Source organism: Homo sapiens, chromosome 20 (assembly GCF_000001405.40).
Source record: "Homo sapiens chromosome 20, GRCh38.p14 Primary Assembly".
Taxonomy (NCBI): Eukaryota; Metazoa; Chordata; class Mammalia; order Primates; family Hominidae; genus Homo; species Homo sapiens.
In genome coordinates, this window is record NC_000020.11 from 8247309 (window position 1) to 8262316 (window position 15008).

The following is a 15008-nucleotide window of genomic DNA, read 5'->3' on the forward strand; positions in this document are numbered from 1 at the left end:
TTTCTCTTTTTTTCTTTATACAGCTTAAAATGACATATTCTCTAACTCATTCATTCAACATATCATTTCTTCTTGAAGGCCTAGTGACATAGAAATGAGGGTATCTTTAGAAATCATTAGAAATTTTAAATGGTTAAATGAAGGAGCTTTAGAAAACCATCTTAAATTAGGAGCTTAGTGAATGTTGCTTTATTTTTTAATTCACATATAGTAAATGAAAACATGAATTTAAGAATTGGCCAGGCTAAGATTCAAATTCCAGTGCCACCATTTATAAATAACATGAGTGAACTTAGACAATTTAATACAGCACACACACACACATACACGCAAACACACACACACACACACACACACACTTTTGCCTAATACCTGGAACATAGTAGTAAATGCTCAATATTTTTTTACTCTCAAAAGCAAGGGCAGCATAGGAAATGACCCTCTCAAGTCAGATCAGGAGTGGTGACTAAATGACAAAGGACCACTTGTGCAGACGTCCTTGTGTTTCTTCATCTTAGCTTTAGGGTTTTCTTTCAAGTGTCCAGATTGCACCTATATTACCCTTGGGTAAGAGCCAATGAGATAATCCATACAGAATGCCTAGGGCAGGGTCTGGAAGGAGTAAGTGCTGTATAAAATTATCCTTCTTCTTCTTTCACTTCCTCTCTTTCTTGGGGCTGACCAGCTGATAAACTAGTCCTCTGTCCTAGATTGTGTTCCCCAGAAACAGACCTTGAAATGAGGATTATGTGCAGGGGATTTATTAGGGAAGCATCTCAGGAGAGACTGGCAGAGGAGCAGGCCAAGGAAGGGAAAGAAGACACATCTGGGTTCCATTTCAGGTGAAGTTCCAGCCTCTTCATGACCTCATAGAGTACTCTGGAACATAAATAGCACCTCAGAGTATGTCCTGCCTGGAGGCAAGGTAGCTTGGCTTTTACATTCCTTCATCCATCTGTCACTGGCTATGGGCCCTCCTGGGTGGGCTATCACCTCCCAAGCACTTCCAGCTCTCCATAGTGTTAGGGCAGTTGCAGTAGCAAAAGAGAAATTTCTGAAGAAGGCTGCTACAGATACTGCTGCAGCAGTATCTTCTGTTGCCATCCAGATTACCATTTCCATTCTCAGCCTTCTGAAGAAGGCTGCAGTTGGAAATAAAGCATGTAAAAGCTGGGAATGGGAGCACAGACCCTGCAAAAGGGACAGAGGTGGCAACTCTGGTGGCAGCAGCAGTATCTGCTACGTCCTCTTGGGTTTTATAGGCACCAGCAAAACACATCTTTTGTTAAAATGGTGGCCTTCTGACGGGAAGGGCAGGTCTACTACTGAGGTCAAAATTCATGTGTTATTTTTGTAAGCAGCTACTAAAGCAGTATCAGTCCAGAGAAACGAGTCTATCTTTGAAGACCAAATACCCAAAAGATCTGCTTCAACCTTCCCCAGTTAATCTTTTGCCAGAAGATTCACAATCTGAATGTGGCTGTGAGTATTTGATTAGAGTATTAGTAGGTGAAGGAAGGTGGTATGCAAGAATCAGCTTTAATATTATCCCCGTAGAAGGGAATAATTGGTGATTAGTTTTCAGGCTATATAGGACTATTCCTCCTAAATGAATGGATAAGCTGAGAGATTTACTTCTAAAGAGGTATGGTCTTTTCATTTTAACTCGAGATTTTAGGAAAGACCAACTTAAAAAGAAAGCAAAGGAAGTTTCAGGAGATTTCAGAATTTAGAAGGAATTCTGAAATTCTCTTCTGGGGAAATGAAATCCTAAGACTTGCATGGATATTTCTGAAAATCAAAATGAAATATTTTGGTTGCATAAATCGTCAACTGTAGTTTTTAACTAAGGAAATGTAATTTAAAAAATCCAAGTGTTCGATTTACATAAGAAATAGAGTTATTTAAATAGAAGATTTCCAAAACGCTGTTAGTGGTCTTTGACGTCTTTAAAAAGGCATTTATATTTGTGAAAAGATGATCTATTTTAAGGTGTAATTATTTCTAATGTGCCTCATTTTGGGGTCTCTTGAGAGATTAGAAATTGCTAATAAGCAATTTTAAATATTTTCGAGGTAAGTTAATAAAACACTTCATCGGTAATTCATGACTTGTTATCATTCTCACATTATCCTTGTGTGGGTAAAGGCCTGTCCATCATTGGAAGTAATTGGAAAGAAAACTTTGCCTGAAGCTACATGAGAACTGGAACCCTTAAATCATGAATGGTGGCAAGATTCCAAAATTAATTATGAAGACTATTGGAATGATGTAGCATCCTTTAACTCTTATTGTGATCGACAGAAAGTATCATAGATGGACAACTCACTTTCCCTTTGCTCTGTGCTTCCTGGTGATTTTAGGTCACGTCCACTCTGAAATCTGAGCTGTCATTAAAGCCATGTCTTCGTGTCTGTCTGTCTGAAGCAGCAAAGATGAGACAGTCTGTCGCTGTGTGTGACCCCAGTGAGCCCCATAAGCAGAAGGCCCTGAGTCTCAATTTGTTTCTTTTGATTACTGGCAGATCACTCACTGTGCCATTTCTCTGATGTGACTGAGCATATTAGCTGTGCCCTCCCCTAATTATTCATGCTTCCAATGTTACCCATTCAAAATTTATGACCATGAGGATGGTGGGTTAGAAGCCTGAGGAACTGAGGCTCAAGCCTGTTGCCAGAGATTTACTGTCATTGTTTTAGGTGCAAAGTATTAACAGGCAGGCCAACTCACTTCAATTCCTGACTTAGTACATTTAGTGGAGAATTAGTTGAGAATGAGTACATTTTCCCTGACACAGCTGCAAAATCAAACACACGAGGAGTTATTGAAAAACTGGGATTTAAGCTTAAACCTATCATTTCTATATCTGATGGGCGCCATCCCATATCTGTGAAAATCTGACATTGGGGAAGTGAAATGCAGGCTTAAAAGAATGCTTTCAAGGTGCATAGCAAAAGCAATCTTACTCCTTTAGTGTTTCCCATTTAATACTTTTCAATTTTTAGTTAGTTAATTAAGGAGAAAATCACTTAATAATCACATAACATAGATTGCTACTATAAATACCTGTATTGTCTATGTTACAATTTTCGCATCTATTTTACTTTATTATTTGTAATCTGTTGGGTTTTGTGACCTTGTGCTCCAAATGATTTTGCATCTGTAAGGTGGTTGGGAGTTAGATACCCTTCATCATATCTTTTGCCATCTTTGAGTGGCTTTTTTAACCTTTCCTTTTAAAAAAAAATCCCTTAATCCACAGTCTAATAAAGTAGGAAAAACAATCAATAAAGCATACCTACAAAAGTTCCATTTTAAACTTTTAGTGAACTTAAGTTTACTCATAGTGCATTTAATCTTCCTTTCTGTCTGTCAGTTAGCAAATATTTATTAAGCCCCAACAATATAACAGAGACATTGCTGGCTGCCAGGTCAGGGGGCAAGAGCCATGATGCATTTCATCTTACTTTGAGGCTGTCGGTCTACAAATATTTATTGAGCTCCCAACAATATGCCAGGGACTTTGCTAGCTGCTGTGGATTCAGAGATGAAAAGACATAGTTCCTTTTATTCACAGAATTTACAGGAGTGATACAAACAAAACAACATAGGAGACATAAGATATGTACTCTGATTGTCTTGGTCTGTTCAGACTGCTATTACAACAATACCTTAGACTGGTTAATTTATAAACATTAGGAATTTATTGCTTACAGTTCTAGAAGCTGGGAAGTCCAAGATCAAGGGCACCAGCAGAGTCAGTGTCTGGTAGTGGTCTGTTCTCATAGATGAGTGCTTTTAAACTGTGTCTGCACTTGTCAGAAGTGCAAAGGGACAAACAGGCTCCCTCAAGTCTGTTTTGTAAGGACACTAACCTCATTTGTGAGGGGATGTCCTCATGACTTAATCGCCTCCCAAAGGCCCTACCTCTTAATACGATCACAGTGGGAGTTAAGTTTCAACATAGGAATTTGGGGGGAACACAAACATTCAAGCAACAACAGTGATGATGGTTAGGCCAAGAACGGTGCAGTCCTCAAGGAGAAAAGCTTTATATCTGCTAGGGAGAGTAAGGAAAGTAGCCTTGGAGCTGAGGCTTGGTGCACAGAGAGGAGTTTGCCAGGCGGATAAGAGCAGGAGAGGTCTTTCAAAGCAGGGGAAACAACATGGTCAAAAGCATGAAGACCTGCCAGAGCTTCCAGAATCTATCAGAGACTTTGAGTTGTTGGAGAATGAAGTATAAGGCAAGGAGTGACTGCAGCTGAGGCATGGTTGGATGAGGGTCAGATTACAAAGAAACTGTATATGCTGTTCAAAGTGGTTCCTATATTTTCTTCCTGCTGGTTATTAGAAGGGCATGTGCCCCTTTTAGGAGGCATCTGCTATGGTTAAGATAATAGAAAAGGGAATTTTCCTACAACTCAGATTACATAGTTGCGAGTGAGACACATTCCTAGGTCCCTCTCCCCAAAAAGCCTTCAGAATTGGAACAGATTTTTTGATGGTGAAGTTTGTGGTGACATCACTGGTTTGCTGCTCTAAAGGCCACTGGAATTAGGAATGCCCGTGGATGAAAGATATTTTTTGCCATGGACTTAGGAATCTGGGTGTGAGTATTTTCTCATTGGTGGGTCAAGACTGACAGCTGCCCTCTGCAAGCTCTTTGAAAAGGTAGGAAGCCCTGAAGGACCTAGGTGATGCTATTACTTGATGGCTCAAGCAGATCTTCACAAATTCAATACATGAAAGATAGGAAGTAAGACGTATGAGTGATGGGGGAGTGAGGTTAGAGTGGTACATCTATCATAGACTGGATAGAAAGGAAAGAAAAGCAGAGGAGGGGAGGATACACAACTTGGCAATGTCGAGATCCAGCCATCCAAACAAGCATGGAAGTCCTTGGTGAAGCTTGACTCCCAAGGGGCATTGCTTTGCATCAGGCACCTGCTAGTCTCTGTATGCAAAGACAGCATGGCTCTTCTAGACTGTAATGAATAGCCACCAAAATCTCTTGGATGTGAACCTGCTGACTTCCCTTGTGAAAACTATGCCTAAAGGTCAGTGAATCCTGTTTTGGAGCTGCTTAGGGTCACTAACACCAAGAAAACTTCATACTTCACTTTTCTCTTATCCCTGCAGAATGCTGGAATGGAAGAAAAAAAAAAGATGAAAAGTAGGTCATATAAATTGGTAATGCCTAATTCTAATCCAGTGATCTCATATAGCATTAGAATAAATTAGAATACATTTTGATGAAAATTTCCATTTTATTAAATAGTTGCTTCGTGCATAAGCAGTGCAGCTGGACCACACTGTTTCTAAGATTGTTTTCAATAAAATCTCATTAGCTCACAAGGCAAATTGAATTCTCACTTGCTTTCCCCATCCACTGTCCCTTACTCACCCCTGCTGTATATAGAGCACTGAGTGTAGAATTTCGCTAGCCAGACCACTTACTATTTGACAGAGATGTGTATGTAGGGAACAGCATTAAGCTATGCCATGACTTCCTGTCATGGCTATAATTAGCATCAGTTCAATAGGCTTGAGTTAAAATGGTTTCTGTGGTGCCATTATAGCTTTGTTTTGCCTTACTTATATCTAGGTGACCACATGTTCAGGTTTTTCTGGGACAGTCCCTTTTTATGCCTGTTTTCTCAGTAGAAATTCTTAATAATGCCCATTCTCACTCTCTGAAGTATTCCAGTTTGGATTAACAATAATATGGTCTCCTGTAGCAAATACTATGAGTGTTCTCATAGCCCTCAGACCTGAGCATTCCAGAATATTCTTACTGGCATCAGCCTGTTGATATCATGTGCAGAGTGCTCTATTGAAACGACAGAAACTCTTGGCCCACTCACCAAGCTGGAATTCAGAGGTATTGACTTCCCTAAGGGCATCCTTCAGCCAATAACTGATAGGAATTGGTGGTCAAATTTTATTTGTTGTTGTTGTTTTTCCTTGTTGATGTACAGTTACTCTAGCACTATTCACTTAGAAAATTTCCTTTTCCTAGTCCATTTCATTGGCACCCTTGTCAAAAATTAATTGATTTTATATATGTCAGTCTATCTCTGGACTCTCTTCTGATCCATTGACCTACCCATATACCAATACGAGACTGACATATTTATCCTCAGGTGACTTTAATTTGCCACTAGGTCTGAGAATCACCATTTTCGACAAACCATGATTTATTGCCTGGGGCTAAATGCATTTCTGGTCTACATGAATTTGTGGTTTTATTCACAGAGGACAGGAAGAATATTGAGTTGATATCTAGCAGTGTCTCTCTTCACATATATTTATTTATTTTCAACTTTTATTTTAGATACAGGGAGTACATGTGCAGGTTTGTTACCTGGGAATATTGCCTAATGATGAGGTTTTGGGTATGAATGTTCCCATCACCCAAGAACTAAGCATGGTACCTGAGTTTTTCAACTCCTGGTCCCTTTCCTCCCTCCCCACTCTAGTATTCCCCAGTTTCTATTGTTGCTATCTTTGTGTTCACCAGTATCCAATATTTAGTTCCCACTTATAAGCGAGAACATGCAGTATTTGGTTTTCTGTTCCTGCATTAATTTGCTCAAGATAATGGCCTCCAGCTGCATCTATGTTGCTGCAAAGGACATGATTTCGTTTCTTGTTATGGCTGTGTAGTATCCCACGGTGTACATATACCACATTTTCTTTATCAAATCCACCCTTGACAGGCACCTAAATTAACTCCGGGACTTTGCTATTCACACATATATTGAAAGCATTTATACTAAACAATATGTTTGTTATGAATAGTGCTATATTGTACACATTTCAGAGAACCTTTTCCCTGCTAAATCTTCACGTGACTCTTGGACACATTGTCTTTGTGACCACTGGAGCACATTTTGAAGTCATCTAGTAGACTTTTCCAGAACACATATTTTTCACTTATATTTATATTGTTTGAGGTGCTGCAAACCTCTTTAAATTGTGTACAACATTTGCAATTGTTAGGTTATACCCACCTGGGAATAATTACTAAGTCTGTGCTCATTTTTGTTTAACTTTCTGATATATTTGTTTCATTTAAGTAAACCTCTAGAAGTATCCAAACTAGGATTAGTAGAGGTAATTTTGGGCTAATGTATCTTCCCCAAACATTGTTCTGTTGTTCAAAATAAGGTAATTACGAAGACACTGGTAACATGAGTGACTTTGTTAGGACTTGAGTATAAATCAGGCTCCTCTTTCCTGAGGAGTGCTTAATCAAGAAAAAAAAAGGCTTTTCTTCATATAAAGGCTTATGTAATATACAGGCTACCAATCTTTGGCTTTGTAACTTCGTTTGACTATAGTGCAACCTGATATGGTTGACTTATTAGGTTGAATTATTTTATACCGCTACGAGGCACTTTTTGTTTAAAATAATGTATGCCTCTTCCAGAAGATCCCTGCACATCACACATTCAAAACTAACTAGATTACCAGGACATGGGAAAATGGTGTCATATGTCTTAGTTGCTGAAGGTTCACTTTATCTTGAATAATAAAATTACAGATCTACCTAGAATTGAACTTAATTGCACAATATTGTATTTCCTTTGCCAATTAACCCAATGGAGGTTTGAAGTAATATATTTGAAAAATGCTTTGTAATCTGAAAAGCACCAGGCACTTGTTAATCGTTGTCATTACTATATTGGAAAAACTACCTGTGGCCACTTGCAATGGAGAAAAAAGTCTTAACACTGAGCAAAGAACAGCTCAACCCTTAGGCAAGTACTTTATCATCAAAACATTTTCCGATGACCATGATTCACAGCAGATGTAAACTAACTCCAGTGTTTTTCAAACTAGTGGTCTTGACCCACGGGTAGGTTATGACATCAGTTTATTGGTTGGACATCAGCATTTTACAAAAATGAACAGTGCAATAGAACATAACAGAATATACTAGAAAATAGTAATATCAGAGGTAGTAAGGATAAATATTCTTTTGAGAAGATCTCCATATATATACATATACACAAACACACAGATACAAACACTGGATGGAAGTAGAAAATGTTCTAATTGTGACTCATTGCTCAGAAACAAAACAGAACAAGACAAATTCAATAACAATGTCATTGCCCTAATCCTTATTTAAGATTTTTAAAGAATGTTATAGTTGTCCTTCAGCTTAGCAGTTATTGTATTACTTAAGGTATGATACAAAATGTTAAGACTTTTATATATCATACGCTTATAATTCCTGAGTTCATAGAGGGTCTAAGATTTTACCATTAATATCCTTCTAATAAAGCATTGCATTATTGAAGACAACCAGTTAGCCAGTTCAAGTCAACACATTTATTAAGAATTAGGAATGTATAAAAAATATACCAAGGAAAATAAATTAAGCTTATATAATTATACTTTATGTTAAATGACAGTTTAATTTCTTCTATGGGGTGTAAATATTTAATAAATTGTCGATATTCAAAAGACCAATACATATTTTAAAATATTCTGGGGGTTATTTTTACATACATCATCATGATCCCCATAATGACGTTTCAATCAGCGACGAACCACATATATGATGGTGGTCTTATAAGATTATAATATCAAATTTTTCCTGTACCTTTTATATGTTTACATATACAAATACTTTCCATTGTTTTGCAGTTGCCTACAGAGTTCGATACAGTAACATGCTGTATAGTTTGTAGCCAAGGAGCAATGGGCTATACCATATAGCCTGGGTGTGTAGTAGGCTACACCATCTAGGTTTGTGTAAATACACTCTGCGATGTTTGCACAATGAAGTCAACTAAGGACACATTTCTCAGAAATTATCCCCCTCATTAAGTGATGCATGACTGTATTTCCTGTAATAGAGACTGTATCTGTTAACTATTGCTATATAACAACCATCCCAAACATAGTAACTTCAACAACAACCATTTACTTAGTGCCAATTCTATGAGTTAGCAGTTTAAGCTGGCCTATCCTGGGTGGTTCTTCCTGGCTTCCTTGTGTGTATGGTCAGCCATTCTGCTAAGCCACTCTGGTTCTGAGAGTCTTTTGGCTGTTTGCCTGGGGCACTTCAGTTCTCCTCTACCCTGGTCCTCTCTAATCCTCAACAGACTAACTAGCCCAGGCCTGTTCAAAGGGCAAAGACAGGGCTCCAAGACAATGGAAGAATTGAAGGCATGTTGAGGCCTAAACTGGATCAAGTACAGTGTCACTTTGACCACATCCTGCTCGCTATAGGAGGTCACAGGCCAGCCCAGATTTAACAGGAGGGGAAAATAATCTCCAATTTTTTGATGGGAGAAATGGCAGAGTAACAAGGCAAAAGGTAGAGAAAAAAATAAGGAGGCCATTAATGGAGGCCATGAATGCAGTCAACTTATCAGATGCTCTTCTCCTCCCTACCCTTTTCATTGGAGCAATATAAAGAAATCCTTCAGTCAAGTTTCCATAAAGACCCTCTTTCCTGCTTCTGGCTGAGCTCCTACTAAAAAGAAGATTAATGTGGAAATTAATCTAATCCAGGATTAAGAGTAGAAGACTTACTTAAACTGGGCAATTTTCTGTCAATTTGATTGTAATAAATATTTTGCATTTAAGAGTTTACTATTGCTAAAGGAAGGATTGTGTTTTCTCTGGGAGCATTGTGAATCTTGTGTTACTGAACAAATGATTTCCTAAAAGGGTATGGGTAAATGGAACTGTAAATCAAACCAAATTTTTTATTTTGAGCCCGCAATTTAAAGGGATCGTTTTACATGTGTTCTGTCTCCAGAGATACCTCTAAAAGTTCTAGGTTTTAGATGAACGATTCCCCAAAGCAACCTTCACCTGGAGAACATAATTCCTATATTTAGCTTAATACTTGGGCCAGAAAGGCTAACATGTCATTTACAGTTTACAGGTAAGATGAATGTAATCTCCTTAGAGTAGTTTCATCAACCAAGTCTAGAAAAATCAGGTACTAGAGTGATTTTTACACAACTGTTTCTTATTGAACAAATTACAAAATTAGAGAAAATGAAAAAGAAAATTAGAAAGGATAGACTTAAATATCTACTCATATGGTAATAATTTTATAAGAAAAAAATCAAAATATAACATCTGTTTCTACCTGCCTGGCCTGTGAATTTTGTAGTCTAATATAATGAGAGAGATAATATTACAAAATAGTTAGGATGGCTGACTTCAAAGACAGACTGCTTGCGTTTGAATTTAAGCTTAGTTATGTGTTACCTGTGTGTTCTACATTATTTAATCTTTTTACGCCTCCCAGTAGAACAGGGATAATAATGGTTCCTACGTCACAGGGTGATTGTGAGAATTCCGAAAGTCAGTATGTGTGGAATACACAGGCCAGTGATCAATGCCTGGTAGGCAATAAATGTTAACTCTCACTGTCAACACTACAGTTGGTTTCTATTCCAACCTTCATGAATTTTCACTGATTTTTTTCACACTTGTTTAAAGTTACATGCTGTATGCCTCTGCCAGGGGCCTGAGAGACAGAGATAAAGGACAAAGACACTGTTCCCAAGTAGCTTGAGGTATTGGATGAATACCCCCCGACCACACACAGATGCACAGATAGTGATGCCACTTGTAAAAGGGATATAAGACTTAAAGGTCATTCAGAATGTCCATGAGACTCGTTTATTTTTAAGGTGATTTCTAATATATAATTTTGTGAAGCAATATGCATTTTTTAGGCTGTTGGCTAAAATGCAATGAATTACCTAGATTTACTCAAGTTTACACTCATTCCACATGTTTTTCTAAATACAGAAATTTCTCATTATGTATGGCATGATTTTTTTAAAAAGAAACATTATATATAAAGAGTACGTGAAGCCTAAGAAAAGTGGCACATTCTTTACTCTTGTAATATGCCAGCATCTTATTCTTTATTTGGTGGTTTCTAATTGTTCCCTAAAAATGTACCAACCATAATATTGACTGAATTATGCCACAAAGAAAAGAAAGTGATTATAGTTCTCTTCATAGATCCTTGGACCTCATATAAAGCATTGATTGATTGTGGAGCCTGCCTGGAGAACAGGCTGTATCAGTGCTATAGAATCTTTACTACTAACTTCTTAGATACTCTTGATTTGGTCTCATTCGTGGGTTTACATTTGCTCTGGAAGTGGTGAGCTTAGATGATAGAAAAACGTTTGGTATGTGAATTTCATACACTTGAAGAAATAGATCTTGAGTTCAGTTTTTCCCTGCAAAGTGCTAGACCTTAAAAATCTGATTTGCATAGACTGGAATTCATTGATTTAAGAAGAGGAATTTATTACAGATTAATAATAATTACTTCTGAAGAGAAAATACTTTGAATTTGGGATTCTAATACTTATTTAAAATTGGCGATAATTTCACTCTTACCAACAAATACACTAATTCTGTTTTTAAAATTTCGATTAGTGTTATTTTTGGCTTAATATGCACATTGTTAAGCCATGTGGGTTTTTTTTTCTGTTTTTAAAATTTAAGTATACTTTGCACAGAGTAAAAGGTACCTGTATGTGTCTACAGTTGTGCGAGTCTTAACAATTCTATACATTCATGTATCCATCACCAAAGTCAAGATATACGACAGTTCTGTCACTGGCAACATTTCCATGCATTCTTTTGTCATTAACCCCTTTCTCCGGTCTCTGGCAACCACAGATTTGTTTCCTTTCCCAAAATATAAATGGAATCATACAATATGTAGCCTTTTGAGTCTGGCTCTTTTCATGTAGCATAACGCCTTTTAGATTTATCCATGTATCAGTGATTCATTCTTTTTCACTGATGAGTAATATTTTATTGGATGGATACTCACAGTTCCCATTCCCCACTTGAAGGACATTTGTTTCTAGTTTTTGGTAATTACAACAAAAGCCATTTAATTATGTTCTTACTTGTTTTGGAAAAAATCCAATAAAATGGTAAAATAATCACTTTGTGTGTATAGGAGTAGGGTGTGGCAGGGAAGTCTGAATCCAAAGGTGTTACTCTAAGTCTCTGCTGGCTGGGCATGGTGGGTAGTGCCTCTAATTAGAGCACTTTGGGAGGCTGAGGTAGGCGGATCACTTGATGTCAAGACTTAGAGACCAGCCTGGGCAACATGACAAACCCTATCTCTACTAAAAATATAAGAAGTAGCCAGGCATGGTGACACACTCCTGTGGTCCCAGCTACTGGGGAGGCTGAGGTGGGAGGATCGCTTGAGCCCCAAAGGCAGAGGATGGTGTGATCCAAGATCACACCACTGCACTCCAGTCTGGGTAACAGGATGAGACCCTGTCTCAATAAATAAATAATATAAAGTCTCCACTAAAAGCGATTATCTGTTGTCTACTGGTATAATCAGGCATACCAGTAGATCTCAGACTGTGTTCCCATTTGATTACCATTGTTTTGCTGCTTAAATCCAAAATATGCCAATTTTAAAAATAATTTTCAGAATTAGTACATTGCATTTCATCAATCTTAAGTTTTCCTCTAATAAATCATTTGAAATACTTGGGTATCTCACAGAGGATCCCGTGTTACCTGGTTTGGCACACAATCATTACATTGATTTTCCTGAAGTTGAATCTAGTAATTTTTGGGTGTCTCACATAAGCATGTAACTTTCAGACTCTCTCTCCCTAAAAAAGGAGTGTCACAAGAACATATTCTAAATCAGTCTATCTGGATGTGAAAATAGGACTCTTCTTGTGTTCACAGTGGCCAAGGAATAAAGACTACTACATTCTTTTTCTTTTCATTTCTTGTTTCTTTTTTTTTCTTTTTTTTTTCAGACAGTGTTGCCCAGACTGGAGTGTAGTTTTGAGATCATAGCTCACTGCACCCTCAAACTCCTAGACTCAAGCAATCTTATAGCCTCAGCCTCCTTATCAGCTGGGACTACAGGCACACACCGTAGCACCCAGCATTTTTTTTTTTTTTTTCTGTTAGAGACAAGGTCTTTCCATAGTGCCCAGACTGGTCTCAAACTCCTGGGCTCAAGCAATTCTCCCCTCCTGAGCCTCCCGAAATGCTGGGATTACAGGCATGAACCACTGCACATGGCCTACCACTACATTTCTTAATGAAAATCACAAAGTAAGACTGGGAAGCTTGGAGAGGCTGAGAAAGCTGAGAGTGGGTCCTGTGGAGGACTTTAGGGAGAGTCAGGAATGTTGTCTGAGTCCTCTCTTACACCTCTAGTGCAGTGAGATGGGGCCTAACAGGACCACTTGCAGGATGGCCTGTGACCAGTGTGGGAGTATTCTTAGATTCTGTCCAAGGTGCTGTTATAAGAGGGACAAGCAAATCCTAGCTTAGATAAGCTAGAATCATCTATGCCTGGTGCTAAAGAGGGAATAAACAATGAGCTAGAGGGAAGCATAGCATGCCCATCCAAAGAGCTCCTAAAGAAAGAGCTCTTGTGGGAGCGTGGTTAGCAGTGTTGTTCATGTCATCTATAACTTCTATACCCAAGGCATGTGCATTCATTCTCAAGCTGCTGCGGGTACCAGTTACTAGAAACTCATAGCTGCCCCCATTCTCTGGCCAACTGCCCTGGGCTGACAGGAGTCCCCTTTCCCAGAGATGCCTTGTAGTTTATGCCTTCCACCAATCTGGAGACTGCCCATGGTCAGCGACCGAAAAATGCAGAGGTATAAAAGAAAGCACGGCTGCCTTGCCTCAAGACCTCACAGCCCTTGTGTTGCAATCCATGCTCCAGAGGTCTCCAAGGGATCGGGTGGGGACTAAATTTCATCTGAAACAACATGTTTGTCAAGCTCCTTCTACTGCCCCCTTCTGCTTCTCTTGATCTTTTAGAGGGTTCTTCTGAGAGCACTTCCTCAAAAATCATTTGCACAAGAATCCCTGTCTCAGGCTCTACATTTAGGGAACCAAACCTGATATAGGGAACTCTGAGAAACGCCCCCAATAAAACATTAAGAGGAGAGAGAGAGAGAAAGAGAACTTCATACACTTGCCGCGCTTAGAGAGCATATTGACATGTTACTACTTTAACAATCAGGTAAGAACCCCTCTGCCTCCCCTTATCTCTTCACTAAGCTCCTCTAAGTGCCAAAATTCATGTTAGCAAGGTAGAAAAGGAGATGTCTAACTAAGCTATTTAGGGAAACATACCTTAAGGCTATTAAACTCTTTCCTTCCTATAAGATTCCAGCTTTGCGGTTGATGTCGAGCCTTATGAAGAGAAGCTTTAACGTGAAATGAACGTGATCTTTCCATGAGCCATTAATGGTTGACCAGGGGATCTGGGAGAGTATAACTAGAAAATTTATGGAGACTTTTATCTAGGAGCCCAAGAATAACCAACCCACCTAATTTATTGAAGGTGACAGTGGGGTAGAGTGCATGATATCTCCTGAGTCTTGCCTATTTGGTTACCTGTTATCCTAAAACAATTGAAAGGACAAAAACATAATAAATGCTGAATCCTGACAAATGAAGACAGAAAACTTACTTTTCTTCTTAAACCAAGAGGATAAGCATTGTATTTAGTATTGAGATTAATTCTCATTGAAATAAAGTCCATCAGACACACAAGTCTCCATGTATTATTGGTCATCCAGACATTGAGATCTAATCCATCACAAAAGTCTCTATGAGTTAGACATCCAGGTAGCCCCACATACATCTCAGACAGGGCACTCTTAGCTGCTTTCTTCTTGATGGCAGCTGGGGATTATTCCTTCCCTTCATTTTTTGTTTTTATGTGCGTTTTTGTTTGTTTGTTTGTTTGTTTTTGAGACAGAGTCTTGCTCTGTCAGAGTCTTGCCAGGCTGGAGTGCAGTGGCATGATCTCAGCTAACTCACTGCAACCTCCACCTCCTGAGTTTAAGGATTTGCCTGTTTCTCCTGCCTCAGACTCACAAATATCTGGGACAACAGGCACATGCCACCACGCCAGGCTACTTTTTTTTTTTATTGTATTTTCAGTAGAGACGGGGTTTCACCATGTTGGTCAGGCTGGTCTCGAACTC

The 15008-nt window shown here is 38.6% G+C and overlaps 1 protein-coding gene and 1 long non-coding RNA gene across 3 annotated transcripts in view; both read left to right on the plus strand.

The window, feature by feature from the left end:
- Window positions 1–15008, plus strand: part of PLCB1 (phospholipase C beta 1) — a 752635-nt gene that overhangs the window by 115043 nt on the left and 622584 nt on the right. The gene's annotated exons all lie outside the window — the stretch shown is intronic.
- Window positions 1396–2434, plus strand: PLCB1-IT1 (PLCB1 intronic transcript 1). Its single transcript, NR_046809.1, has 2 exons — window positions 1396–1482; window positions 2149–2434. It is a non-coding gene; the product is annotated as a PLCB1 intronic transcript 1 (long non-coding RNA).